The sequence below is a fragment of the Homo sapiens genome, chromosome 17, assembly GCF_000001405.40.
Source record: "Homo sapiens chromosome 17, GRCh38.p14 Primary Assembly".
NCBI lineage: Eukaryota > Metazoa > Chordata > Mammalia > Primates > Hominidae > Homo > Homo sapiens.
Genome location: NC_000017.11, coordinates 46,770,218 through 46,797,183, shown reverse-complemented (window position 1 = coordinate 46,797,183; position 26,966 = coordinate 46,770,218). Strand labels below are relative to the sequence as shown.

Genomic DNA, 26,966 nt, shown 5'->3' with positions numbered 1-26,966 from the left:
AAGAATCGCCACAGGCAACTTGGAGCCTCTTGGTGTTTATTGTTCTCATTTGAATATTAGCAGCTCATTAGCATAGTTGCAGCACTGAGAGGTCCTGCCAGTGTGACCCGTTTTTATTTGTTTAACTTGTTTTCCAAAAATATTTAACCTTGGAGCCCTTTTCCCATTTTCCCCCATTTGGAAAATGGGATCGAGAAGATTCTCCTGCCTATTTCAGTCAGTTTGGTTTTGTGGTCTTATTTTCCTCGGTAACCAAGCTGAGAGTCCTCTGACTTCTGTTGTAATCATCCCGTGTAAACTAGTTCAGTCCAGACCACCCTTTCTGGAGGGCTTGAGTGGAAGGAATGAATGAATGCACTCAGGAATTAATGAATGAAGCAGTCAGCCAATCAGTCAGCCATCCAGCTGAGCCCCCTCTCCTATGCAGCAGCCAGGAACCAGGGACTGATCAGGCACCGCTCATCTTGCACCAGGGGACACCCGGGCTGTCTGGCTGGTGAATCATTCTCCCGTCTTAGGTCCCCTGTAGTTGCATTTTTAGGATCTGTCACCCAATGAGGCTGGGAGCCCCTGCGGGGCAGGAACCAAGTTGCGCTTGCCTCTCTGTGTGCCCCGAGTGGGACATACAGATGGGATCTCTCATCCAACTCCTTCTGAGAGGGGCAGGAGAACATTGTGGTTAAGTCTTCAGCCTCTGGAGCCAGACCAGATGTGTCCCTAATTACCTGGGTAATGTGGGCCAATCTCTGCCTCAGTTTCCCCACTGAGATAGGGGTGATGATAACATACCTTCCTTACAGAATTATTATGGGGTTAATATGCGGCAAGCACACAAACAGTGCCTGGCATAGAGGATGTCACTGGTCTTTATTAGCACTATGACAATGGCAACCAACATTTATTGTGCACCTACTATGTGCCAGGGACTGTGACAAAAGCTTTATCTACATCATTTCAATTCTTCCTCCCCGCAGCCTCTTTGAAGTGGGGGATGTTTTTCTCATTAGGAAGTTGAGTCCTCCCAAGGAAACGTGGTAATGGGTGGTAGCAATAAGATCAGGATTGGGGTCAGCCAGATCACAAAGCCCTGGCCTGCAGGCGTGGAGGGTGCCACCTACCACCTGCGGATGGGACAGCTCCTCTGTTTCTTTTTACTGATAATTACCCTGCCGACAACCTGATCAGTTCTTTTTTTTTTAATCCTCTATTCATCTCAACAAAATGGAAATCCATGGTACTGCAAGGGTTAGAATTTAACATGTGTGCACACGTGTGTGTGCGTGCATGCATGTGTGTGTGTGTGAGAGAGAGAGGGAGAGACAGAGACAGAGAGAGACAGAGAGCAAGAGTGCACAAGTGAAGGAGAAGGAGTTATCTGAGAAGCCTGGGGGTTACTAGCACCTTCATGACAGACCAAGGAAGACAGAGATCCCCGGGTGGGGCTGGCTTTGAGACTGCACAGCGGCAGAATCGTTTGTGAGTCAGCAGTGCCGCAGAACAGCAGGGTGCTCCGGAACTGGGCTTGGTGTCGTCACCCACTGCCCCTTGCACAGGGCCCTGTGTGCCGGGAAATGTTTGCAGGCTGGACACCTGTGGTTGCTTTTAACCAGGCAAGTGAGCTGGGTTAGAGGTAGCCACATGTTCCTGAGGGCTCGCAGCTTTGGATCTGAGAGGGTTAGACAGGGCGTCAGGGGCTGAGGGTCACTGGAGGAGAATTTGCTGTCGTCCCTTTGCCCACGGGCCGGCTGGTCTTCTCAGACCCCAGAGGCCAGCTCCTCTGTTCTTCCCCACCTCGGAGGGGAGCCCCAGAAGTCACAGGGTCAGCTGTCTGCTTTCCACACTGCCTAGGGCTTTATTCTTGCACCATCCCCAGTTCTGGCCACACCAGGGGAGTGAGACATGGGGCGCCGGTAGAGGGGCTGAATGCGCTGGTGTGGGGTAGGAGGTTTCGGATGCACATTCCAGAGGGTGTTTATGGGGGAGCAGACAAGCCTGGGGATTCATTCCTGGTAGGGAACAATTCCCTCAGCACCCGAGGGTGGGAAATGAGGGCCAAAATGGTGGCTCAGAGGGACACAGGTGAGGTAAGCAGGTAAGAATTCCCACCAGGTGTCTCAGAAATGTCCTGGGAAGGGCCTGGCATGGTGGCTCACACCTGTAATCCCAGTATTTTGGGAGGCCGAGGCGGGCAGATCACCTGTGGTCAGGAGTTCAAGACCAGCCTGGCCAACATGGTGAAACCCCGTCTCTACTAAAAATACAAAAATTAGCCAAGCATGGTGGTGGGTGCCTATAATTCCAGCTACTCGGAAGGCTGAGGCACGAGAATCACTTGAACCTGGGAGGTGCAGGTTGCAGTGAGCTGGAATCGTACCTCTGCACTCCAGCCTGAGTGACAGAGCAAGAATCTGTTAAAAAAAAAAAAAAAAAAGAAAAAGAAAGAAAGAAAGAAAAGAAAGTCCTGGGAAGCTGGTGGAAGGAGGTCGAGATCTTCCTGACCTGGGAAAGGAGGGAATTCCCAGGCATCTATAGACCAATAGGACTGTCGAAAGTTTGACTGGTGTGAGAATGGGTTAAGGTGCTGAATTTTAGATTTTTATCCTCTCCACGGTGGTACAGTGTGTTCTGCAAACAAAGGAGAGCCAGCCTTGAAGAGCCCTTCTCAGAGCTGACTATGTTCTTTGGCTCCTCAGCCCAGTGAGATGGCCTTAGCTCTGAGCCCTGTGCAATATGCAAACTGGACCAGATGACCCCCAAGGCTCCTTCTAGCTCTGACAGGTCCTGTCGGGGGATCCAGCCTGCATATAGGGCCTGGGCTTCTTTCAGCCCCATAGATGGTGACCCCTCTTCACCGCTAGTAAGATTGAAGCTCATCAGCAGGACCTCAGGCCCTGGCCTCCTTTCTTCTTGGTCCCTTGGGTTTTGGAGTTTTATGTGACATCAATGTCCCAGAAATGCCCATCCTCTTCCTTTTCTCTCAGGGCACAGTCCCCTGAGGTCTTGTGGTTTATCCACCCCCACCCCTGTTCTATGTCCTCCTTCACTTGCTCTCCCCCACGCCCCTCCCACCAGAGAGTTTATAAGCTGGCTGTCCCCTTGCTAACCTCCTGCTGTTCCCTATGAACATGCCTGTTAGATTTCACCGTGTGACACTGTCTTGGTTATGTCCCCGTCGTGCCTAGTTCAGTGAAGAACACATAGCAGGTGCCGAATAAATGCACTCTGCTGGGATAAACTGGTTATCTCCAGAGGGTGGGGTCTGGACAGAGTGGCAAAATAGCGATAGCATGGGATTTGGGGTCCAACTCCACCTCCACTTCCTGGCCGATGGCAATCTGTCATTGGTAAACTGGAGCCGGCATCTCTACTCTCAGGGCTGTTGAGAGGATTCATGGAGAAGCTGTGTGAGGAAATGCTTTGCAGGTTGGAAGGTGCTGGGAACGTGTGTCATCTACCCTGGCCTCTCTCTCAGGAACTCTTGCCCACATTTGTCAGCATCTGCTGGGTGTGTTGTCTTGGGAGAGGTCTTGTTAACCCTCTGCCACCTTGAATTCTCTGGTCCCCTGAAATTCTTTGTCCTGTCTCACACACAAATGCCTCCAGCCCTCAGGTCGGGGGTCTCCTCTCCTCCTGCAATGCCTTGGGCGTGGGTCCAGCCTTGTCTGAGACACAGAGAAATGGACCTCCAGTGCGGAAGATCTGCACCAACATTCGAAAGAAAAAAGACTGATAGGCGGGAGCCCAGCATTTGAATTTACAGGGATGTTAACCCCAACAGCGGCCGGAGCAGCAGAGCAGGACCTGAGCACTTCCTTCCCTTTCTCCTTAGCCTTCCATGAACATGCTCTCTATAAACCCTGTCCTGGTAAATGTCTCCCCTCATTTTTTTTTTTTTTTTTTTTTTTTTTTTTAGACAGGGTCTCACTCTGTTGCCCAGGCTAGAGTAAAATGGCTCGATCTTGGCTCACTGCAGCCTTGACCTCCTGGGCTCAAGCAATCCTCCCAACTCAGCCTCTCAAGTAGCTGGGACTACAGGTGGTCACCACCATGCCCAGCTAATTTTTTTTTTTTTTTTAATTTTAGTAGAAACAAGGTCTTGCTTTCTCGGCTAGGCTAGTCTTGAACACCTGAGCTCAAGTGCTCCTCCCGCCTCGGCCTTTCAAAGTGCCGGGTTTACAGGTGTGAGCCACCTCCCTCAGCCCTCACTGCTTTTTTTGCCATCTCAGTGCCACCATTTCCTAGCTATGTGACTTTAGACGAGTCACTTGGCCTCTCTGAGCCCATGTCATCATCCGTTAAATTGGGTTCTTTGGCAAATTAAAGGATGTATTCTATGTAAAGTGCTTTACATGGCAACTGGCACATAGTCAGGCCTCAATAAATGTTAACTATTATTATTAATAATGGCCACTGGCCAGGCGTGATGGCTCACACCTGTAGTCCCAGCGCTTTGGGAGGCAGAGGTGGGCAGATCACGTGGTCAGTAGTTCGAGGCTAGCCTGGTCAACATAGTGAAACTCTGTCTCTACTAAAAATACAAAAATTAGCCAGGTGTGGTGGCATGCACCTATAGTCCCAGCTACTCGGGAGGCTGAGGCAGGAGAATCGCTTGAACCTGGGAGGCAGAGGTTGCAGTAAACCAACACGGCACCATTGCACTCCAGCCTGGGTGACAGAGCAAGACTCTGTCTCAAAAAAATAATAAAATGGCCACTCTGAGTGCCTCAGTGAATAGGCTCCTTACTACCTTACTTAGAGCAGAGTTGAGGAAATTGGTGAAGTTCTTCACTACCTTATTAGCCACTCTCTACCCAAATAAATGTACCCCACCTTATCTTATTCATTATGGGTAATCACCTGTAAAAGCGTTCTTTATTTCATTCACAGCCTGAGTGTCCCCAAAAAGGTGCTCCATGACGTCATCCCCCCTCTGGAGGACACCTCCTCCCACCCATGGTGATTTGAGCCTTCTCTTAGGCCAGGGTGATTCCTGGGGGAACCTTAACTGGGGCTAATGTGCACTGACATTTTGCCTTTTGTGTCGAACACACATCCCATTTGCAGAGATTTAGAATTTTTTGACTTTAAATGTTCGCTATTTCTATGTATGTGTAAGAGAGAGTTGTTTTCTTTTGTTTTGTTAAGAGACAGGATCTCACTCTGTTGCCCAGGCTGGAGTGCAGTGGTGCAATCACAGCTTACTACAGCCTCAAACTCCTGGGCTCAAGCGATCCTCCCGCCTCAGTCTCCCCAGTAGCTGGGACTACAAGTGTGCACCACCACACCCAGCTAATTTTTCTGTGTTTTGTAGAGACAGCGTCTCGCTGTGTTGCCCAGGCTGATCTCAAATTCCTGGCCTCAGGTGATCCCCCTGCCTCGAAATTCTGAAGTGCTGTGATTATAGGCATGCGCCACCATGCCAGAGAGAGAGATTTTATCTTTTCTACACAACGTGTGTTTCCCCCAGAAGAAATGCCTTCCTACTTCTGTGATGAATGTAAGTAGAATGCAGACAGAAATTACAGAAACTCCCTGTGCCCCAGCACCCTTACCAGGGCATGCCTGGCCTGGTGGAGTGACAGGGTGTTGTACACAGTGAGGGGAAGGAAGGGAGTGGGAGAGGAGGTGAGGCTCTGCAGAGCAGAGTGGACCATTTCTGGTCAGAAAACAGTGAGGAGGCCGGGCGTGGTGGCTCACGTCTGTAATCCCAGCACTTTGGGAGGCTGAGGCGGGCGGATCACTTGAGGTCAGGAGTTTGAGACCAGCCTGGCCAACATGTTGAAACCCCGTCTCTACTAAAAATACAAAAAAATTTAGCCAGGTATGGTGGTCCTCGTCTGTAATCCCAGTTACTCAGGAGGAGAATCGCTTGAACCTGGAAGACGGAGGTTGCAGTGAGCTGAGATCACGCCACTGCACTACAGCCTGGGTGACAGGGCGAGACTCTGTCTCAGAAAAAAAAAAAAGAGTAAGGAAAGCGAAGTCCTGGGTTGGGGGGAAATGTAGCTGCAGGCAAGAACCAAGGAAGGTGTGGAGCCCCCAACCCAGTAGGGAAAAGGCTTGCTGCCTTGAAGCCAAAGAGTGTGAGCATCCTGTACCTTTGCAGACAGAACTTCCACCTACTCACAAACAGATACACCCCACTGCACAGCTAAGAAAGCTAAGGGGAAACCAGGAAGAAGGGAAAAGAAAAGAGGAAAACCCCAGAGGAAACGAGGAGTCAGGCCTGGGCAGGGGGTTCCAGATGACGCATGAGGCTGCAGGAGGAAAAGGTTTCTTTTGAAACACATCTTTTATCCTGTCCTTTTCCGATGTACGTGAGCGTGTGTTTTGGAACGCACATAAAACGCGAGCGCAGTAGCCGGCCTCTGATTTCTGCCAAGGTGGACGGAAACGGAGGGGCGTGCCCAAATGCTTCTTCTTCATGGCTGCTGGATCAGGGAAGTTTTGCTTCTGTGGCCGTGAACATGGAGATTTGCTGAGAGGCCAAGGAGAGAGATGATGGGGGAGGGCTACTTCGGGAGAGGAAGTGGACAAGACCAGAGGTTGGAAAACAGGGGACGGGTTGATCCTAACAACTTGGAGGGACTGGTACTGGGAATAGGAGGTGGGGCCCAGGGGGAGGGCAGAGGACCCAGGAGCCCCAGCTGTGGACCCAGGGTGGGGCTGTGGGCAGGTCCCCAGCCCTGTCTGTGACCTAGGGCAGTGCTTCTCAACCTTGAGGGAGGGAGGGAGGATACCACAGAGGGGAGGGAGCACCTAGACCACTTAAATCCCTTTCTCTGCAGGGGGCCCAGGCAGCCTTGTTTCTAAGCTCAGCAGGGCCACTTACTATGCAGCCAGGGATGAGAACCAATGGCCCACCCTGCTGAGTGCTGGAATGTGTAATGAAGTCCTGCGTGGGTCTGTAATGAACCCAGATTCGGCTCCTAACAGGTGCTGAGTGCATGTTTGCAAACCCAGGCGCCTGTTGCAAGGAGAGGACAGAGCTAAAGCAAGGAGCCTGCGGAGGAATGGGTGGCAGGGACTGATGAAGTTGGGGGAAGGAGGTGCAGAGGAAAATGTTGAGGCTCGCTCTGGACTGCCTCGCCTGGGGATGGAGAATGGGGCTGCAAGGGAGGGGCAGCCAGCGCTTTGAACTTGGGTGGGGCCTCCCTAAATAGAGTGGGGGAAGTCCAGGTGCTGGGCAGGGCTGTCTTCACCTGCCCATCCTCAGCGCCGTGGGGGGATGAGGCGCAAAGAAGCCCTCCTGGGAATGTGGTGGAAATACCCACCTTGAAAGGTAGAGAGTGGAATCGTTGCCCTGAGCACCTGGGTGTGGTCGCAGCATCCCCCGTGAGGCCTCCCAACCTGCAGCTGCCTCCTGCGTGCGCATCTGCCACTGCTGGCTTTAGGGCCAGGGCCAGGCCCAGCTGGAGGTCCAAGCTGGAGCCCTGGGCAGTGTCCAGTGCACTGTGGCCTCAAAGTGCCCAGCCATGGTTTAGTACTCCAGCTGGCAAGGCCCTGGGTTCAAACCCTGCTCTGAATTTGTCCAGTTGCTTCCCCATGGTGTCATTTGGTTTGTTCCTCTGTCCCTTGTGTTCCCTGAGAGGTTACCTCTCAAAGCTTGGTTAGATCAGATTAAACGTCTTTGGCCAAAGAACATCATAGGGAAGGTTGGGGCCTTCCTGCTGCATCATCTCATACCATTCTACTGTCACACTTCTGGTGGAGGCTTTTAATGATCCAGTTTCCTGGACTCCTCCCCAGAGGCTCTGATCCTGCCACGCTGGTGTTGGAGCCTGGGTGTCTGTATTTTTCAAAACCACCCCAAGTGATCTGCCGTAGTGTATAGCCTGCATCCCTGACCCCAGTAGCCAGCTGGTCAGGGACTGTCCTTGGTTTTCTGAAGAGCATAGAATAAGAGAGTGGATGGGACAGTCCAGGTAGGTGCCAGCCCTGGTGGCCAGTGCTATCAGGTGTGAGGCAGGGAGGGTGGCCTCTGGGCCCCCATAAAGAGGAGAATGGGCTTCCTCAGGGCAGCTCCAGGTTCAGGTAAGAGTCCTTGCAAGACCAGGAGTGCCCCACGCACTGTGCTCCCGGCGTCCAGCATAAGGCCTGGCCCAGCGTGAATGTTTATTGAATAAAGACACACACCAGGCTGGTGGCTCTCTGAGGAGCCCTGGGGAGCTGCTCTAAGAGTGAGCTCCCAGCCAAGCAGCACAGCTTTGTGTGTTCCCCACTGGGCTGCTTCTAAGATTCAAACAAAGGACTCCCAAACTGTGGAGCTAGCAGCTGTGTTAAAAGGCCCAGAGAGCCAGCAGGGCCATGGCCATCACCTGCCCTCAGCTCGCCGTGGAGACAGCCTGTGGGATCTGGGAGAGACGAAGGAAAGGACTGGGCACTCAGTGGGGCTGCTGAGGGCAGGGAAAGGAGGCAGGGAGGTCCTCGCAGGGAGGTCCTCGCAGGGCCACTGCACCTGCTGAAGCAGGTGCTAGATTCTACATGGAAACGAGTGAAAGAATCCCTCCTCTCAAAAAACTCACCATCAATGGAGTCGGTGGACAATTCACTTGAGTGCATTGAAGGTTACCTGTGACGGATGTATAAGAGCTGGGGAAATGGCCAGAGGGAACAATTTGAATTGGAGACATTAAAAGGGGATTTAAACATGGGACCTTGAGGGATGAATAGAAGTCTGGAGTCAGAAGCGAACAAGAGGGCTGGGCAGGCTATGTCTTGTCTTTTACCAGAACTGGCTTGAAGGGTATAGCAATGTGGGGACCCAGCAAAGTCCTGGTGTGGGAACCAGCAGACTTGGCTGCTCAGAACGGCAGCCTAACTCTGTAAGGTTCTCATTTCCCAATCTGTAAAATGGGAGACTGACTTAGGGTTTGGAGGGGTCAGGAAGGGGAGAAATGTTACAAGGTTAAAATGAACTAAAGATGCAAACATGGCTTAGGAAAAATTTGAATTAGAATTCCACTTAGTGGAGTGGGAGGCAAAGAAACAGATGGCCAAGCTCCAGGAGGAAAAGCTGGCCAAGCTGAGCTCAACTTCAAGGCCCAGCTCGAATGTCACCTCTTTGAAGGGGACTTCTTTGCCTTCTCCCACTTCCTTCCCCTCAGCACACCTATTCCTTGAAGTCCCAAGTGGGACTTCTCACACTCTGCAACTGACTGGTCACCTGCACTGAGGTGGGGTCACTGAGGAGGGTGGAGGCTACATCTTTTTTTTTTTTTTTTTTCTGAGGCAGAGTCTCACTCTGTTGCCCAGGCTGGAGTGCAGTGGCACAATCTCGGCTCACTGAAACCTCTGCCTCCCAGGTTCAAGCGATTCTCCTGTCTCAGCCTCCAGGGTAGCTGTGATTACAGGTGCCCACCACCACGCCTGGTTAATTTTTTCTGTTTTTAGTAGAGACAGGCGTTTCGCCATGTTGGCCAGGCTGGTCTCGAACTCCTGACTTCAGTTGATCTGCCTGCCTTGGCCTCCCAAAGTGCCGGGAATACAGGCGTGAGCCACCGCGCCCGGCCGAGGCTACATCTCATACATCTTGGGCACATAGTATGCAGGTACTGAATGAGGCCCAGCCTTCAGATGATCAGGTCTGGGGCACTTCAAGAACGATCTGCGTGCTATGAGAGAGACAAGCTCTGGCTGGGAGTCAGCAGGCCTGGGCTGTGCTCTCTGCACTGCCTCCAACCAGTGGAGGAACAGCAGGGAAGGCACATCGCTTCCCTGGGCCTTAATTTCCCCAAGGAGCTGAACTAGGTGATGTCAAAGGTCCCGCTTAGCTTTGACATTTTATGACCTAACACTGTAATAGAATCACTAACATGCGTGGCCATTTACAGAATGCTCCTAAAGCCCTTCCAGGACACTCCTATTGTTCCCCCGCCCCCGCCCTACTCCAATAGCAAGAAAACTTTCACAGGTGGAGACTTTTCTTCAACAGGTCTTTATTGGCTGGGCACGCTGGCTCACACCTGTAATCCCAGCACTTGGGGAGGCTGAGGTGGGAGGATTGCTTGGGCCCAGGAGTTCGAAACCCAGCCTGGGCAATATAGCAGGACTTCATCTCTACAAAAAATTTTAAAAACTTAGCAGAGCATAGTGGCATGTGCCTGTAGTCTCAGCTACTCAGGAGGCTGAGGTGGAAGGACTGGTTGAGCCAAGTAGTTCAAGGCTGCAGTAAGCTGTGATTGTGCCACTGCACTGCAGCCTGTGTGACAGAGTGAGACCCTGTCTCAAAAAAAAAAAAAAGAAAAAAGAAAAGAAAAATGGCCTTTACTGAACATCTATCTTTGTACTGATGAGCACCCCCAGAGACACCTGGGCCCACCAGGGTTTCTAGAATGTTCTAGAATGTTCAGCATCCCCTGAGTTGCCAAGACTAGACATTTAGGGGGAGCTGTATGACAATCACCCAAAACTGATGGGCAGAAATGCTGTGACCCCAAGTAGGCCTCTGGGCCTTGATGACATCCTCAGTAACAGAGAGCACGGCACCCCTTTGTGTGTCTGAAGGCAGAGGGCTGGGACCCTACCTGAGCACGCACAGGGCATCTGGGCTTTACCTGGGAGTCCTGAACTGCGCAGCAAAGTGGAGAAACGGACCCAGCTCTCAGCATGTGTCCTTGGGAGCTGCTCCCCTCTGTGGTCACCAGGCAGCACTTGCCCACCTGTGGGCTTGGTGCCTCTCAGGGAGACGCTCTGGGGTCTGAAGAGTGAGGTCCCTGCCTTTTACCCGTCTCTGGACACCCCTCTGGGCCTAGGCCCTTCCCTGTGAATCCCCTGCCTGAAGGAAGAGACCCACAGCCCTGGGGTTCCTCTGGGGTGCCAAGTGGGGGACTGTGTTTGGTCCTGGGGAGGATGGGCTGGGGCTGCTGAGCAGGCCAGGGGTGCAGGACCCCTCCATCCCCCGCTTCTCCTGTCCTCCTCCTTCTTCCACCCTTGACTCCTCTCACCTCTTGTCCCCTCTTCCCTCCTGTTTCCACTCTCTTTCCTCCTCCCCAGGTCCCACCAGACTGCTCCATGCCCCGGACCACAATTTGGCTGAAGGCAACAATCCCTCTCTCGCACCCTCCTCCCTTTTTCCAGGCTTATCAACTTCACTTTCCTGTGAAATGAAGGGGTGGGGGGGTGGGTAAGAAAGAAAGAAAAAGCACTTCATGCTCACAACACAACAAAAAACAGGTTTAAACATTTTACAGGTTTCAACATTTTTCAGGCGGTCTTGTCACATCTTATCAGATCAGCCAGAGCCGCAGGCAGGCGCTCCAGGAGCTGCTTTGGAGAACAGAAGCTGCAACATTCCAGCCCAGGCACTGCCCCGCCCTCCACACCCCTTCCCTCCCTTCCCTTTTCTCCCCAAAGAAACATCCCACAGGGCTCCCTGGGATGGAGCACAGGGCCCGCAGCCTCTTCCCTCTGACTGAGGTATAGTCTGTGGCCAAACCCTTGGCTTTGAGCTCCTGCCCGCACCCTTTCCTTCTCCCCACGGCTGCCCAGAACCATGGTCCTCCCGGGCTCTCAGGTGGTCCCTGGCAGCTGAGCTGTGCCACCTCCTCGGAAGGCCCCTCGTGGCCCTGAAAGGGAACCTTCAGAAGCTGCGGGCAGAAGGGAGTTGCTAAAGTCGTCCACAGCATGTAGAAGTGGTCATTTGGCCAGCAGGGCTAGTGAGTTTCCGGGGCTCCTGGGGCCTGTCCTCGGGGGCTCCTGTCGGAGGGGAAGGAATAGCTTTTTCCTTGGTTATCTTTTCTCCGTGTGCATGGGTTTTTCTCCTATGGCGTGGATCACTGCCTGGGATATCCCCTTCCACTCAGTCACCCCCAGACCTCACCTTTCTGTTCCTGCTGCACTCACGGTGACATTAGTGACACAATGCAGGGTGACAGGTCCAGGAAGGGCTGGCCAAAGCCCAAAGGCTCAGAGTTAAGCCGAGGCAACGTGAGGGATAGACCCAGAACCTGGATCCCAGGACAACAGGGAAGAGCTGGCTTTGTAGCTTGTAACAGGAGCATGGTTAGGGCTGGGAGGTCCCACTGTGTGGTCAGAGAGGGGTCCCCAAGGGAAGGCAGCTGTGCACTGAAGGCTTAGGATGCATCATAAGAAAAGCAAAAAGGGGAGGCCGGGCACGGTGGCTCACGCCTGTAATCCCAGCACTTTGGGAGGCCAAGGCGGGCAGATCACGAGGTCAGGAGATCGAGACCATCCTGGCTAACACAGTGAAACCCCGTCTCTACTAAAAAATACAAAAAAATTAGCCGGGCATGGTGGCGGGTGCCTGTAGTCCCAGCTACTCGGGAGGCTGAGGCAGGAGAATGGCGTGAACCCGGGAGGTGGAGCTTGCAGTGACCCGAGATCGCGCCACTGCACTCCAGCCTGGGCGACAGAGCGAGACTCCATCTCAAAAAAAAAAAAAAAAGAAAAGCAAAAAGGGGAAAGCGCAGAGGAGGTAGGGGCACAGTGGCTCCCTCTGTGTAGGTATGTTGGCTGTGCATCTCGTGGGGACCTCGTCCGGAATATGGAAAACACAAGCCAGACCTGGGCGCCTGCTGCCAGTGTTGGCTGGGCAGGGGCTGAGGTTTCGGGAGAGCCCACCTTTCCAGCCTCCTAGTGTGAGGTTCAGGCCCTGAAGCTGGGCTGGCTGCCCCTTGGCCCCCAGCCCCCTCCCTGGTGCCTCCACCCCTTGGCATATGGCATCAATGCTCCCACCGTGACGCTCAGTGTCCTCCCACCGTGTGCCCACAGCCAAGATGGGGCCTAAAGTATAATTCAACTTTTAGCTCCTTACAAGCATCCCCAGATGGATTTCTAGCTTCCGTCCCTCTCTTGGGCCCAGCTCTGTCTCTACGTGGTGCCTGGAAGTCCCTCTGGCCCCACGCACTTCCTCGTCTTGTTCCCAAAGCTGCTTTGCTTCTTACCTTCCCATCTTGGTGGACACCATCTCCATCTTCCTGGTCATCCTGGCTCAAAACTTTGGCCATACTTTCCTCCTTCCTCCTGTTTCTCATGGGACCAAACGGCTACCAGTCCTTATTCACAGCTTCCTGTCTGTTCCTGAAGCCACTGTCCTGAGATGACCAGCGGGCCCATCCCCTGCCACAGACCCCGGTGACCCAGACACATGGGTCTTGGCCCAGCTGCACAATGAGAGCTGAGCCCTGGGAGGTTGCAATGGATCCCCAGGCCCCAGAGTCTCCTTAGCATCCACGTCAACCCCGCCTCCCAGCCGCTTTCCCAGCACCCACCTCTTGTCTCATTTTGCACATAACTAACAGGATGATATTCCAAAGCCCAGCTAAGGAAGGTGCTAGTTTGTCCGAATAATGTCTGGCACTCAGGGCCCCTTTCTAGCTGCTTCCCCTCCTCTGCTTCTCTGTGTGGCTCCTAGACCCTGGCTTGGGGAGGCATGCCACCTTGCCTGGGGCTGTCCCCCTGCCACCTGGCTCCACCTGAGGGCCCCTAGCCATCCTTCTCCAGCTCGGTAGCTGCTCCACATGGAGCCCTCCAGAGGCAGTGAGGACACACTTGCCCCCGTTCCTAGAGATCGCTCGCCCTGACCGTGCACCCTCTGGCCCAGAGGTTACTGGGGCTGAAAGTTACAAGTGCCTTGGGACCATGTCTCACTCATTTAAGGCACCCACAGTGCCCAGACCTAGTAGGTGCTCAAGAAATGCTTGTTGGTCTGTTACTGACAGCAGCCTCCTGGGCTGGGTGCTCCTCAGGTGTGGCTTCATTAATCTCCACGTTCCCAGAACCTGGAACCCTGCCAGGCTGAGAGTCATCACTCAATTCGTGCGTGTTGAGTGAATAGGCAGTGAATGACTTTGTTTACCAAGGCCAGACTTCAACCTGCTCTCTGAAGGACAGGCACTTCCACTGACTCCACAAATCACCAGGCCCCAGTCTTGACAGCTGGGGCTAAATCAAGACAGGAGCCCACTGGGCTTAGAGCCCGGGCAGCTGCTCCTTCATGGTTTTATCTCAAGACCTTGGGTCCCAGCTCAGGGCCTGCACCCACTCTACCCTCACCCTTCCCTTCCTGTCCTAGACATAGGCAAGGGTGCTCCCACCCCTGCTGGAGATGCAGGCGAGCCAGAGGGCCCCGTTGAGAGAATGAACTAGCCCCGTTGAGAGAATGAACTAGCCCCTAATGGCAAGGCCCAGAGACATGTCCCACTTCTTTGATGAAAGGCACCCCCTGAGGCACCTTGGCGCTCTCCCACAGCCACAGGACACAGCCCCACCTGAGTCCCTTTGGGCTCAGAAGAAACCCCCTACCCTTGGCCCTGCACTGAAATGTCAAGAAGGTCCAGACCTGTGCTCAGTACCCGCAGGGTGCACATGTGTTCCAGGAGGGCGAGGAACAGTGGCAGCTGGAATCCTGAGCTAGGTTTCTCTGGTTTTGTCACAAGCTCCCTGCCAAGCAGCCAGGTGAGCGGCTCCAGTCCAGGCCTGTGGCCTCCCTCATCCACAGCAGTGATTGCCTCGTCACTATGGGTGTAGTTGGGTGCATCAGAGCCCACCAGGCCCAGCCCCACGGTGTGCACACATGCCCCTGAACTGGCTAGGCTTCCTGTCCTGACATCTGCCAATCCTGAACGGCTTCTTGACCTAAGTGGAAAGGTAGAGGCCTGAGTTCCAAAGCCAACGCTTGGTTCCTCACTTCCTGCTCTTTCCTCAAACCTTTCCTTTCCCTTCTAGAAGTTTCCGTGGAGGGTGGAGCCCTTCTGGGCCCAGGAACAAGTTGGGCCTCTGTCCAGTACTGCCCAGGAGCCAGCAGGTGGAGCACCTGGCCCTGGCCTGTTGTGGGGTTGACAGGAGCACCGTGGCCCCCACCACAGGGAGAGAAAAATGACCACAGGAGAGGTGATTTCTGACTCCTTCTCCTCACCTTCCCTCCTCCTCTCCCTCTCAGCAGCCATGTCAGTCATTTTAAGAGACACTAGATCTTCAGATCAGAGTCTTAAGATGCCTTCCCTTTGAGGCTGGCACAGATGGTTAGATTTCCGCATGGAGAAAGGTAAGGGCAAAGGGCCTATTTCTGCAAAGAAGGCATGACTTGGGGAGACTTGGCCCTGGAGAGCACCCTGAGACCGAAGGGAGGAGGGGAGCCTTTCCCTGGGCCGCAGCCCCTGGGTCCACCTTCTGCAGCTCCACCCATGTGAAGCCAGGTGGGTCCTTTTTGTGCCCAGCCCCAGAGAAGCTTCTGAGAATGTGCATTCATCACCCCCAGGTTAAAAGCCTGGTGGGTAAAAGAACTGTGAGCCCTGGGTTCTCCTCCCACCTCCTGGGCAGCCAGCTGTGTGACCCCGGAAAATGACAAACCTCTCTGGGCCTCAATCTTCCCGTATAGAGGAAGAGGGAATTAGACTAGACCCGGGGCTCTGGAATTTCGTCCTGCACAGGGGCTCTAGATGCGAAGTTGAAGGCTGGGGATGCAAGCACCATCCCTCCTTTGATTTTTTTAATTTTGCTATTTAACCATTTTAAAGTGTACTATTCAGTGGCATTAAGTACATTCCAATGCTGTGTGACCATCACCACCGTCTGTTTTCATCATCCCAAACTCTGTACTTATTAAGCAGTAACTTCCCACTCCCTCCCTTCCAGAACCCCTGGCAACCTCTGTTCTACTTTCTGTCCCTGTGAATTTACCTAGACACCTCATGTAAGTGGAATCATACAGTGTTTGTCCTTATGTGTCTGGTTGCTGTCGCTTAGCTTGTTTTCAAGTTTCTTCTATGTTGTAGCTTGCATCAGAATTTCATTCCTTTTTTTTTTTTTGAGACAGAGTCTTACTCTGTTGCCTAAGCTGGCGTGTCTTTACCTAGAACCTCATGTAAGTGAAATCATACAGTATTTGTTCTTCCGTGTCTGGCTTCTGTCGCTTAGCTTGTTTTCAAGTTTCCTCTACGTTGTAGCTTGCATCAGAAGCATCAGAATTTCATTCCTTTTTTTTTTTTTGGTTGGGGGGACAGAGTCTTGCTCTGTCGCCCAAGCTGGAGTGCAGTGGCGCAACTGGCTCACTGTAACCTCTGCCTCTCAGGTTCAAGCAATACTCCTGTCTCAGCCTCCTGAGTAGCTGGGACTACAGGCACGCACCACCAGGCCCGGCTAATTTTTGTATTTTAGTAGAGATGGGGTTTCACCATGTTGGCCAGGCTGGTCTCGAACTCCTGACCTGAGGTGATCCACCCGCCTCAGCCTCCCAAAATGCTGGCATTACCGCCACCACACCCGCTTCCTTCCTTTTTCTGGCTGAATAGGGTCCCACTGTATGTATGGGCCACCTGTTGTTTATCCATTCATCTGCTGAGGACTCTTGGGTTGTCTCTACCTTTTGGCTGCTGTGAGTAGCACTGCCGTGAACACTGGTGTACAGGTGTCTGTTGGAGTCCCCATTTTCTTTCCTTTTTTTTTGAAACAGAGTCTTGCTCTGTCACCCAGGCTGGAGCGCAGTGGCGCCATCTCAGCTCACTGCAAGCTCTGCCTCCCAGGTTCATGCCATTCTCCTGCCTCAGCCTCTCTGAGTAGCTGGGGCTACAGGCGCCTGCCACCACGCCCGGCTAATTTTTTGTATTTTTAGTAGAGACGGGGTTTCACCGTGGTCTCGATCTCCTGACCTCGTGATCCTCCCGCCTCGGCCTCCCAAAGTGCTGGGATTACAAGCGTGAGCCACCGCACCTGGGCAGAGTCCCCATTTTCAATTCTTTTGGGCGTATACCAGGTGTGGCATTGCTGGATTATAGGGTGATTCTATGTTTAACTTTTTGAGGGACAGGGCCCTCTTTTCATATGTTCTGTATGTAGGGGAGAGGAGGGAGATTGTGTGTGATTCCATTTGGGAGGCCACCTGGTTGGGTGCAGGACTGCCTACCCTAATGGATCACTCAGGGGAGTGGGTGCTGGCAGCACAGTGGGTGTCCCTGGCAGCACAGTCAGACCCCCATCAGCAGGGGATTGGCCGTCACTGGGTGGACGGCAGCATCTGAGGCCAACAACCCCAGTGTCAGATCAGGCAGGACGCACTGTACAGGGTGCCTTTAGGTGTCTCACCATATGTTAGGTGCGTAAGTCAATGCAGCATCCAGGCTGACCTGAATTCACTGATTAAAAATGTTCTCTAAAAATGTTCTCTATGGCCAGGCATGGTGGCTTACGCCTGTAATCCCAGCACTTTGGGAGGCAGAGGTAGGTGGATCACTTGGTCAGGAGTTCCAGACCAGCCTGGCCAATATTGCGAAACCCTGTCTCTACTGAAAATACAAAAATTAGCTGGGCATGGTGACGCATGCCTCTTATCCCAGCTACTTGAGAGGCCGAGGCAGGAGAATCACTTGAACTTGGGAGGCAGAGGTTGCAGTGAGCCAAGATCACGCTTTGTACTCCAGCCCGGGCAACAGAGCAAGATTCTGTCTCAAAAAAAGAAAAAAAAAGGTCCTCTCTGCCTTGTGCTCACCATGCAGGCCTCCTGCAGCCCTCTGGCCACAGCAGGCGTTATCAGGGTAGAGGCACAGAACTGGGGTGGGGATGGGAGTTAGATAAGGCCATGCACAAGGTTTAGGTCTTGCCTATTTGTGGAGGGATATTTCACTCCAAGGGGTCAACACCAAAGTTTCCACAAGCAGCCTGTTGTGCAGGGCACCCGCAGCCCATCCGCCTGGCTGCCCGTGTGTGTCCTCGGCCCAGCTGGGCAGTGGGTGGTCGGAGTGGAGGATGAGCCGGCTTCAGGAGGAGGGTGGCAGGGTCCTAGGGAAGGGAAGGGCCGGGCCAGGAGCTGGGTATAAATAGCCCCTGGCCCAGCTGCGAAGGCCTGGCAGGGTCCTCCGCCCTCCCCCTCACCAGCTGTCAGTGCCAGGCAGGTCTCTATCCCCCTTGGGAGCCTGGCCATCATCTCAGATCCTAAACGTAGGAACTTCCTCAGCGGAACCAAGGAGTCTTGTCCTGTGTGTAGGCGGAAGCTCCGGATGCCGGGAGGTCTGGCGAGTGAGGGGCATCAGGCTCGTCCTTTGGAAGAGTTCTTCATTCCTTTCCTCCAGAATCATGAATACCTAGCATGTGCCCGGCCCTTTGGAAGGCCGAGTGGGCTGGGGTGTGTGTGTGTGTGTGTGTGTGTGTGTGTGTGTGTGTGTGTGTGTGTGTGATGGGGTAGGGACCGGGGAATAACTGGAGAAAACACTACCACTACCTCTCTTCTTGGAGACTGAGACTGGCATAGCCAGATGGAATTGGAAACAAATCAGTTCAGCACTTTGGGATAAGAAGGTTTGAATTAGGTACAGGAAAGATTCAGGCGGAGGAGAGGTGACTTCTGTCTGGAGCTCACAGAAGGCTTTAGAATGGTGGTGACCTAGGAATCAGGTTTCAAAGGATGGTGTAGAATGGTTGCCGGGGGCCGGGCAGTGGAGAGGTGCTTCGAGCCGAGGGCTCAGCATGTGCAAATGTGCAGAAGTGTGAAACAGCCCCGCTGGAGTCATTCAGCTGGCTAGGCAAATCCGTCAAAGCCACGCACACTTTGGCACAAAGAATCGAGGAGCATGAGAGTCACTGTGCCGCCTCCCGAAGTGGAACGTGTACTTCAATAATGGGGAATAGGAGTGGCGAGTTAAAGTAATGTGTCTGCGATGGTGGAATTTCAGCAGTGTGCGGGCAGGAGGCTCAGGGTGGGGGTGGCCGGGCATGTTTGGGGAAGGGCAGCCATCCTGCAGAAATCAATCCCATGGCCACAGCCTCTTTAGTCTCCGACACTGGCCCAGGAGCTAAGCCCCATCGCCAGAGGCCTTGCTAATTACTCGCAGGATGACCCCATCTGAACTGAAGCCTTTGAATGGAGCATCCTGAAAATGTCCTTTTGCCTGCACTCTTTGAGTGACCTTGAACCCTCATCCAGATCACAACTGTCTTTGTTCTGCCACCCCTGTGAGGACTGAGGTCTGATCCAGGCATCCTTTCCAGTGTTGGATAGGAAGGGGCTGAGATTTCTGATGTGTTCTACCAAGTCAGGGATGCAAGGATGGGAGAAATGAGGTTGGTGACAAGGCAGGGAACAAAGTGCTGGGGACAGCTCCACACACACCGTAACCATAGCAACCACCATCTAGCAAGGGCTCCCCACGTGCCATGCACTGGATTGTGTCACTTATTCCTCCTGTCGTGTCTATTTTACCGATAAAGAAACTGAGGTATAGAGGTTAAGAAAATTGCTGAGATCAGCAGCTAGGAAGTGGTAGAGCTGGATGGGACCCTGGCACCATGGCTCCCAGGTCCACAGTTGGTGGGACCTGGGCAACAGGAAGGAGACAGGGTTTGGTGGAAAGAGGGAAAACAGCTCATCATGACTGAGGCTCAGGAATTGTTCTCAGAGGACATCACACTGGGAGTCAGACAAACTCAGGGCTTGAATTCTGGCTCAGCCACTTCCTTGCATAAGTCGCCCAACTACTCCATGCCTCAGTTTCCTCATCTGCAAAATGGGGATAACAATGCCCACCTCCCAGAGTTGTTGTGAGGATTCAGTGAGATTATGTATTTGAAGTGACTGGCACAGAGCAAGTGCTACATAAATAGTTGTCATTAGTATTGCCAGTATCCGGGTAACTGTGGGGACAGAAGGAAATCCCTGTGGGGCAGAGGAGAGACTGCGTCTGCACAGCAGGAAGGGCTCAGTGGCACCTTCTTCCTGGAGATGTCTGGGAAGCACTCCGACCTTTGAGGCCAATCAAGCCATGCAGGCAGTGTGCCAGAGCTCAGGTGCTCTGCTGGGCTGCGAAGACCCACCTGGGACCCTGAGGGAGGTAACTGGTGAAACCAGGAAGCAGGGAGCCCCTTGGAGAGCTGGGTGAGGAGCCGCCTTGCCAGCATGGGCCCCCCGACTCCTCAGTCCCCCAAGCCAGCCGGCCTGGCTTTCTCTGTGGATATGGCTGTGTGACCTCGCACAAGTTGGTCCTCTTTCACGGCCTCTGCTTTTTCTTTTTCTTTTTTTTTTTTGAGACGAAGTCTCGCTCTGTCGCCCAAGCTGGAGTGCAGCGGCATGATCTTGGCTCACAACAACCTCCACCTCCCAGGTTCAAGCGATTCTCCTGCCTCAGCCTTCTGGGTAGCTGGGATTACAGGCGTGAGCCACCTGGCATGGTCGGCCTCTGTTTTTCATCTGTATAATGGGCTTTGTGCTCCCTTAGGGCTCCTCCTGTGGGTTCTGCTGCTGGACCAGGGCTCAGCCTCCAGTTTAGCTTGAGGGTGCCCAGGCCTGCAGAAGGTGTCAAGCAAGGGCTGGGAGAGGGGGAGGAAGGAGGAGGCAGGAAGGCAACGGGAGGGGAAGGAGGAGGGCAGAGGAAGGGTCTCCGAGTGCCTCTCACTCCCGCCTCAGCTCTCCGCTCCAGTGGTCCCATATAGGGCTCTGGGTCCCAAACACCAGAGGAAGGAGCGGGGACAGCCCAGGCTTCTTCCCTGGGTCTTGTTCCTGAGCTGCCCATCTAGGATGGTGCAAGGCCGAGTTGTCTGCACTGAACTCTCCCTCAGTTTCCCCTCCAGTGATTGCAGGGCTGTGGGGGCAGCTGGCACAGCAGGGCTGGGCTGGAGATGCTGCTTAAGAGCACGGGAGGGGCAGCCTGAGCCCAGAGGGAGGCTCAACGGGGACCTCTGCAGCCTGGCAGACAGGGCAGGGTACTTAGCTCCCTGGCCTCAGTTTCCTCATCTTGGAAATGGGACAATGGCGATGATAATGAAGTTTTTATTACAGACCTGCCGTGAGGATTACATAAGGTAACAGACACAAGCACTCAGAACTGTGTCCAGCACATGATAGGCCCATAATAAACCACAGGGATTATATGATCACTCTAACCTGCTTCTAACAGGGCAGGGGCAGTGCTGTGTGCGCCGTGTGCCCATCAGGGCTCTGGGCTCACTGACTCTACCCACTCAGGCATGTGCTCAGTATGGAGGCCCAGGGTGCAGATGGGCCAGGCCTGAAGCCACCTTCACCCCATGAAGACCCAGGCAGGCACTGCCCAGCAGGCAGGGTCACATAGTGATGACCCCCATGGGCTCTGGAGTCTGACACCCTGGGTTCCAACCAGCAATTCCATAGGAGCTCTGTGGTCTGGGCTGCTTCATCAACCTGCAAGGCTAAGCCATCTGTAAAATGGGGCTAATAATGACCCTACTTTGTGCTGGGGCTATTTTGAGGATTAAATGAGGCAAACCCAAGGAAAAGCCTCTGCTCAGGGCCAGGCACCGGGGAAATCAGTAATTAGCCATTACCACCGATAAATCAGAACTTCTGGGCCGGGCGTGGTGGCTCGCGCCTGTAATCCCAGCACTTTGGGAGGCCGAGGTGTGTGGATCACGAGGTCAGGAGATCGAGACCATCCTGGCTAACATGGTGAAACCCCGTCTCTACTAAAAATACAAAAAATTAGCCGGGCGTGGTGGTGGGCACCTGTAGTCCCAGCTACTCGGGAGGCTGAGGCAGGAGAATGGTGTGAACCCAGGAGGCGGAGCTTGCAGTGAGCCGAGATCACGTCACTGCATTCCAGCCTGGGTGACACAGCGAGACTCTGTCTCAAAAAAAAAAAAAAAAAAAAAAGAACTTCTGGCTGCTGCTTCTTTCTCTTTAGAAAAAGCTCAGTGCTTAAGACCTGGAATGCCTCACAGATGTTACCATCCAAACTCCCAGATCTGGCTCCTCAGTTCCTCCACCCAAAATAAACAAATGGAAAAAGGAGAACCTGCCTCTCCCCCTGACAACTGAGCCTGGAGACAACCAAGGTGGATGGGTAGCATGCCCCTGCACGGTGCCCAGGGAGCTCTGTGCCTTGGAGTCTCCACGAATTGGCCAAGGCCAACATCAAGCTCAAGTATGGAGGAGGGACCCGGGGGAAGGCACATGGCACTCTCTGACCCACCACAGACCAAAAAGCCGTAGGCAAGCTAATTCACTCTCTAAACCTCAGTTTCCTAGTCCAGGAGATAGTGATGTTCTTCATGTTTGGGAATTGATCAGAAATGTTGTATATAAAGTGCCTGGCAAGCAGTAACAGTTGCCAAATGGCAGATGTTTGGCTCGGCCCTGTGTCCAGCCCAGAAGCTTTTGTGTACTAAAAAGCACACAAAAAACCTCACCCTGCCCCATGGGGTCTTCTCCCGGCCCCTCTTTCCGAGGCTTTTGCCCATCACTTTTTGTGGGAAACTTGACTTAGGCCAATGCTGGACCAAAGCCTTGGTCAGTGCTGGACACAGAGGGAGAGGAGATGGGCCCCTTCTTCCAGCTCACACTGCCCCTGGTCATACAGCAGATTGCAATTGTCCTTGAAGGCCACTGACACTCACGGATCATTTTCTCAGGTTCTCCCAGAAAATGTCATTTCTGCTGTTCCTGTGCTGAGGGCAGGGAACGGAAAAGTCGTAATTCCTACCTTGGTTTTCTAGTATTTTAAACTCTTCTGCCCCACCCCCATAAGGTCATTCTTTCTGTTGTTGACTATAAAACCTGAGAGAGTTGATGGGATATTGATTACAAAGCGAGGGGCAGAGGAATGGAGTGAATTGACCAGTCACCTGGTGTTGGGTGTGGGCAGTGAGATCTGAGATCTCCCTTCTGACTCTGTGCTAAACTTGTTTTGACACAAAGCCAAGCTCCAGTCTCTCATGAGAAAAGAGGTGGAGCTCTAGAAACTTCTAGGAAACTGGAAAGATGGTCATGGAGGCCCTGGTAGACAAAGGACTTGGTGCAAGCCAGCAATTCCTTGGGGAGATACTGGGAGGCTCTGGGCTGGGCTGGCACCATCGCAGGGAAGAGGCTGAGGGCATTGCCAAGGGTAGTGTGTGTGTGTGCGCGCGCGCGCGTGTCCCATGAGTCACTGGAAGTGTCCATGTGGCCCCAGTATCCTGGACTGCCTTGGAAATTGCCCAGCCTGATCTCTTCAATGCCCATCAGGGAAGCTGGACCCAGAACCTGGAAAGGACTGGATCTGGGCCCCAAATACCATCTTTCTAGTCCAAACCTCTTTTCATGGCTTTGCATTGCCCCCAAGGGCCCCCACAAGCGGCTTCTGCGGTCCCATCCCCCTGCAAGCTGGATGCAGCCAGAGGGCTGACTTGCGTGGGTCAGAGCTCTGCGCTTTGAGGGGCGGCATGCTCCCGAGGTCAAAGGTAGCACATTCAGGTGCCAGGGCACAGGCCCTCTGCCTCTCCACCTACCCCGGAGGGTTCACAAAGCGGCCATGGTGCCCAGGATGGGCTCTGTGCTTTGTGCCCACAGTGTTACTACCCTCTGTCTGCCTGCAGGTCCCTGGCCCTGGGCCAGCAGTACACATCTCTGGGCTCACAGCCCCTGCTCTGCGGCTCCATCCCAGGCCTGGTCCCCAAGCAACTGCGCTTCTGCCGCAATTACATCGAGATCATGCCCAGCGTGGCCGAGGGCGTGAAGCTGGGCATCCAGGAGTGCCAGCACCAGTTCCGGGGCCGCCGCTGGAACTGCACCACCATAGATGACAGCCTGGCCATCTTTGGGCCCGTCCTCGACAAAGGTACTGCCTTGGGGCTGAGGGGGGGGGAGGGGCTGGGTGGGGGGAGGGATCAGGACTGTATGCCCTTCCACCCCAGTCAGGGTGCCTCTTCTCTGAAGCCAGGGTCCCTCTGGGAGGGTGATAAATTTGGTTGCATGACTGCCACACCTTCCCAGGCGCTGCTGGGGGCTGGGCCGCCTTGAGATGCTCCAGGATCCTGAGGTTTGAGGGCCGACACCAAGAAGGCCACAGACTTCCTTCCTGGCTTTTGCACAGTGGGCGCCTCAGGCTCCTGCTGTGGACATTTGTGACATTTCCCCAATGCTGTGTTAAGTGCTATGCAAATACCGCTTTGGGGTGGGGGTGAGAGCATTGCCACCCCTAGGTCCCTCCCATCTAGAAAGTCCTCAGTAGGTGAGGAAGCTGCCTGGTGCTGTGGTAGCATTGCGTTGCCCCCAAGAGCCCCTCTAGGTTTCTGTTCATCCTCATGCCCTGTCAGCTGGATATGCCCAGGAATCATGGTGGGGCTAGAGGGTGCACTGGCCTCTGGGTAACTTTCCGGCCGTCTTGCAGCCTGGGAGTCTAACTGGCTGTGCCTCAAGTGGACAGGGAACCACATGATTTGACTTTGAACCTGCAGGCCCTGGGAGGGAGGCTAAGTGGGACAACTCCTCCCAAGAAGGGGACTTGGGGGCTCATGGACTGGGTGGAAGATGGGCAGCTCTTTGTGGAACGGCAGTGTCCAGGAATTTAACGATCCTGGCCGGGCTGGCCACAGCCAGAGTTGCTCTGCCACCCAAACCGCTGAGCCTGGCCCTCCCTCCTATTAGAAGCTAGGGAATGAATGAGAGCTGCCTATACAGCCAGAAAGAAAAGGGATCTGACGTTCAGGTGAAGGGGTGGGGTGCTGGGTGGGGTTGGGGGGGAAGCTGACAACCCCCATTTTAGAGTGCAGTTCCCCTTTACCGGTGCCTCAGGTGCTCAGGGTCTGTCCCACCTACAGGCAAAGTGCTGGCTATTGTCATGGGACAGGAGGGTAATTAGCAAATCAATGGATGATGATTCTGTTTACGCTTCTATTGCCAAAACTAATTATTCCTTGTTGACATAAAAGATTTGGCCTCTTAATTGGGGCCAAGTGGCGGCGGTTTGCATTTCAAACTCGTTCTTGTCGGTGTGTTGGTCTCAGCGCTTTCCGGTGCCCCTCCTCGGGCCAGGTAGCGCTGAATCAAACAACCCTGCGTCTAGACGCGCTCCCCAAAAGCGAGTCACCTCTGATCGCTCTTCCCGTCTCCGGCCAAGAGCCAGGGGAAAGCGGCTCTGGGAGCGCTACCCATTCACTCCGCGTTGAACGTTTTAAGTCACCACCGTAGGTTCTGGCACACGCCCCGGTCCCTAGATGGCCCGAGGACAGGTTTGGGTTGCGGGGGGAGGGGCGATGTGTGCCCGAGAGTTTGGGAATTTGCTGGCGGCGGCGAGGAGAGCATCCCGGAAGACGCCGCGAGCGCATACGCGCCCCGGTCGGTGCCCAGAGCCCGGACCTTGAACCCAGGTTCGCGCCCAGCTCCGGCCCCACGTTTGCACCCCGCCCCCGGCGAGTCCCCACACCACCGCCGCGTGGGCGGCCAAGGGTTAATCTCTGCCCCGCGCTTTGAGACCCGGGGCGCAGCGGGTCGGGCAGCCCGGGGCGCGCGTCTTCCGCGAGTCTGGGGGCGGCGGGGTCGGCGGCCGGAAGGGGCGAGGCGCGGCGGCGGCGCGGCGGGCCCGAGGCGCTTCCCCAGGCGGGGGCGGGGGCAGGGGCGGGGGCGGGCGCCGGAGGGGCCTGGGCGGCCTGAAAAGCGCCCGAGCACCGCCCCCCCACCGCGCGGCCGCCGCGCCATTCACACGCCCTCTGGCCATTCGGCGCGGCGCGGCGCGGCGCGGCGCGGGGGCGGGGGGCGCCGCTTCAATGGGGATTTCGCGGCCCGGCGCCGGGGCCGGGGGCGCGGCCCGGCCGCGGGAGCCGCCCGTTGCTACGCGGTGGCGGCCGGCCCGGCGGCCCGGGCCCGGCGGCCGCATTATGCGGGTAATGCGGTGTGACACCGCGCGAACAAAGGCGGATTGAGCGGCCCAGCGGGCCCCGCCGGACGGGGAAGGCACAGCGGGGCTGTCAGCGCCGCTCCCAGGCTAATCCCCGCCCCGCCCCCGCCGCCCCCGCGTTCCCGGGGCTGGGAACCCAGCGCGGCCCGGGGCCCGGGCGCCGCTGCCGCCGCGAGAGGCCGCAGGCCGGCCGGAAACGAGGGGCGCCCGCCCTGTGAACCCGCCCTCGGCCCCTCTTCCCCGAGGCGCCCCCAGGGCTGGGGCGTCTAGGATTGGGGCGAGTGAGCGGCGCGGCTGGGACCCCGAGGCCGGGAGCACAACTGGACGCGGGACGTCGGGCCCCCTTGCCGCCGTCCTCGGTCGGCCCTGGCAGCGCAGGCGCGGGGCGCGGGCGGGACCAGCTCTGCACTCTTCGCCCTCCCGTCGTTGGAAGTGGGACGGGCCCCTCTGTAGGTGGCGCAGGAGGGCGTGGGGGCCGCGGAGAGCGGCCGCGGGAGCCAAGAGGGGTCCCGGGCTTCCTTCTTGCAGCACTCGGCCCACAGCCCAGGAGGGGAGGCGGGCGCCTGGCTTCTAAATAAATTTGGTCACATTTATGACCAATTTTGCCGACTAGGCCGGCCCGGCGTTTCACAGCCTGTGTCAGGTGGCGAGTCACCTCCGGCTCCCGGGTCCTGCCATGAGGAGAGAGATGGTTGGGCTGCAGGTCTTGCAGGCCTTGGCCTCCCTAATCGTCAATGTCCACATCTATAAAATGAGTAAAACTTTCCATGTGAATGAAGCACATGCAGAGACGATGACCGTTGTGAGGAGGCTGGAGCACACCCTTGAGAGTCTCTCCTTTCCCTGCGCTGGACCCTGGGACAGAACCAGGGGAACTGCCCGGTGTCCCTACCCTTCTGGGAGGGAGTTGGCCGTGCCTGGGCGTGAGGGCAGGAGAATGGGGATGGGGAGACTGAGGCACGGGCCACTGCCCTCCTGGTGAGGGGCTCTAGGAGCGGAGGGAAGCCGTGTCCATTTTACAAAAAGGGCGACTGAGACCGAGAAAAGGAGAGGGGCCGTCCCTATGCATCCACGTGCGGAAGGGGTGGGCCTGGGCAGGTTTAGGCTGTAGATTCCCAGGCCTCCCTCCTTACAGACCTGGATCTCACTCAGGCGTGGGAGGGCTCAGGCCTGTGCAGGGTGGTCTCTGGACTTTGGGAAGGTGGAGGGCAGGGGGTGTGGGACCAGGACAGAAGTGGCTGCCTTATCTCTGCAGCAACCTGCCAGAGGTTTGGTGTCGGCGCCTGTTTCTAACAGGCACTGCTTTGCCCTGTGGCATTTGAGGTCCTGAGCTAATCAGCAGCCCAGGGCCTCAGTTTGCTCATCGGTGAAGTGGGAATACCCAACTGGGTC

General features: G+C 55.1%; 2 protein-coding genes across 2 annotated transcripts in view, besides 10 other annotated features; one reads left to right on the top strand and one right to left on the bottom strand.

Annotated features, from left to right (window-relative positions):
- The window catches only part of LRRC37A2 (leucine rich repeat containing 37 member A2), a 676,337-nt gene that overhangs the window by 251,945 nt on the left and 397,426 nt on the right, over nucleotides 1–26,966 (bottom strand). The gene's annotated exons all lie outside the window — the stretch shown is intronic.
- Nucleotides 1–26,966, top strand: part of WNT3 (Wnt family member 3) — a 56,187-nt gene that overhangs the window by 21,509 nt on the left and 7,712 nt on the right. Inside the window, exon 2 of the mRNA NM_030753.5 lies at nucleotides 23,275–23,516. Coding sequence (NP_110380.1) covers nucleotides 23,275–23,516 — 242 coding nt within the window. The remainder of the gene's footprint in view (nucleotides 1–23,274; nucleotides 23,517–26,966) is intronic.
- Nucleotides 10,114–11,030: an enhancer, noted in NCBI's record as "H3K27ac-H3K4me1 hESC enhancer chr17:44863520-44864436 (GRCh37/hg19 assembly coordinates)". NCBI's record gives its function as "activates a minimal SCP1, AML or CMV promoter by ChIP-STARR-seq in naive and primed H9 embryonic stem cells {active_cell/tissue: H9 hESC(naive and primed)}" and the evidence as "EXISTENCE:reporter gene assay evidence [ECO:0000049][PMID:30033119]".
- Nucleotides 11,031–11,948: an enhancer, noted in NCBI's record as "H3K27ac-H3K4me1 hESC enhancer chr17:44862602-44863519 (GRCh37/hg19 assembly coordinates)". NCBI's record gives its function as "activates a minimal SCP1, AML or CMV promoter by ChIP-STARR-seq in naive H9 embryonic stem cells {active_cell/tissue: H9 hESC(naive)}" and the evidence as "EXISTENCE:reporter gene assay evidence [ECO:0000049][PMID:30033119]".
- Nucleotides 14,516–15,202: an enhancer, noted in NCBI's record as "H3K4me1 hESC enhancer chr17:44859348-44860034 (GRCh37/hg19 assembly coordinates)". NCBI's record gives its function as "activates a minimal SCP1, AML or CMV promoter by ChIP-STARR-seq in naive H9 embryonic stem cells {active_cell/tissue: H9 hESC(naive)}" and the evidence as "EXISTENCE:reporter gene assay evidence [ECO:0000049][PMID:30033119]".
- Nucleotides 20,363–21,038: an enhancer, noted in NCBI's record as "H3K4me1 hESC enhancer chr17:44853512-44854187 (GRCh37/hg19 assembly coordinates)". NCBI's record gives its function as "activates a minimal SCP1, AML or CMV promoter by ChIP-STARR-seq in primed H9 embryonic stem cells {active_cell/tissue: H9 hESC(primed)}" and the evidence as "EXISTENCE:reporter gene assay evidence [ECO:0000049][PMID:30033119]".
- Nucleotides 22,554–23,209: an enhancer, noted in NCBI's record as "H3K27ac-H3K4me1 hESC enhancer chr17:44851341-44851996 (GRCh37/hg19 assembly coordinates)". NCBI's record gives its function as "activates a minimal SCP1, AML or CMV promoter by ChIP-STARR-seq in naive H9 embryonic stem cells {active_cell/tissue: H9 hESC(naive)}" and the evidence as "EXISTENCE:reporter gene assay evidence [ECO:0000049][PMID:30033119]".
- Nucleotides 22,756–22,900: an enhancer, noted in NCBI's record as "145 bp enhancer 249 fragment used in the MPRA reporter construct; PK_construct_5052". NCBI's record gives its function as "activates an SV40 promoter by MPRA in K562 cells {active_cell/tissue: K562}" and the evidence as "EXISTENCE:reporter gene assay evidence [ECO:0000049][PMID:23512712]".
- Nucleotides 22,821–22,836: a transcriptional cis regulatory region, noted in NCBI's record as "ZFP161 motif; enhancer activity is reduced when this motif is scrambled". NCBI's record gives its function as "necessary for full MPRA enhancer 249 activity {active_cell/tissue: K562}" and the evidence as "EXISTENCE:site-directed mutagenesis evidence [ECO:0005528][PMID:23512712]".
- Nucleotides 23,210–23,867: an enhancer, noted in NCBI's record as "H3K27ac-H3K4me1 hESC enhancer chr17:44850683-44851340 (GRCh37/hg19 assembly coordinates)". NCBI's record gives its function as "activates a minimal SCP1, AML or CMV promoter by ChIP-STARR-seq in naive H9 embryonic stem cells {active_cell/tissue: H9 hESC(naive)}" and the evidence as "EXISTENCE:reporter gene assay evidence [ECO:0000049][PMID:30033119]".
- Nucleotides 23,868–24,523: an enhancer, noted in NCBI's record as "OCT4-NANOG-H3K27ac-H3K4me1 hESC enhancer chr17:44850027-44850682 (GRCh37/hg19 assembly coordinates)". NCBI's record gives its function as "activates a minimal SCP1, AML or CMV promoter by ChIP-STARR-seq in naive and primed H9 embryonic stem cells {active_cell/tissue: H9 hESC(naive and primed)}" and the evidence as "EXISTENCE:reporter gene assay evidence [ECO:0000049][PMID:30033119]".
- Nucleotides 24,524–25,181: an enhancer, noted in NCBI's record as "OCT4-NANOG-H3K27ac-H3K4me1 hESC enhancer chr17:44849369-44850026 (GRCh37/hg19 assembly coordinates)". NCBI's record gives its function as "activates a minimal SCP1, AML or CMV promoter by ChIP-STARR-seq in naive and primed H9 embryonic stem cells {active_cell/tissue: H9 hESC(naive and primed)}" and the evidence as "EXISTENCE:reporter gene assay evidence [ECO:0000049][PMID:30033119]".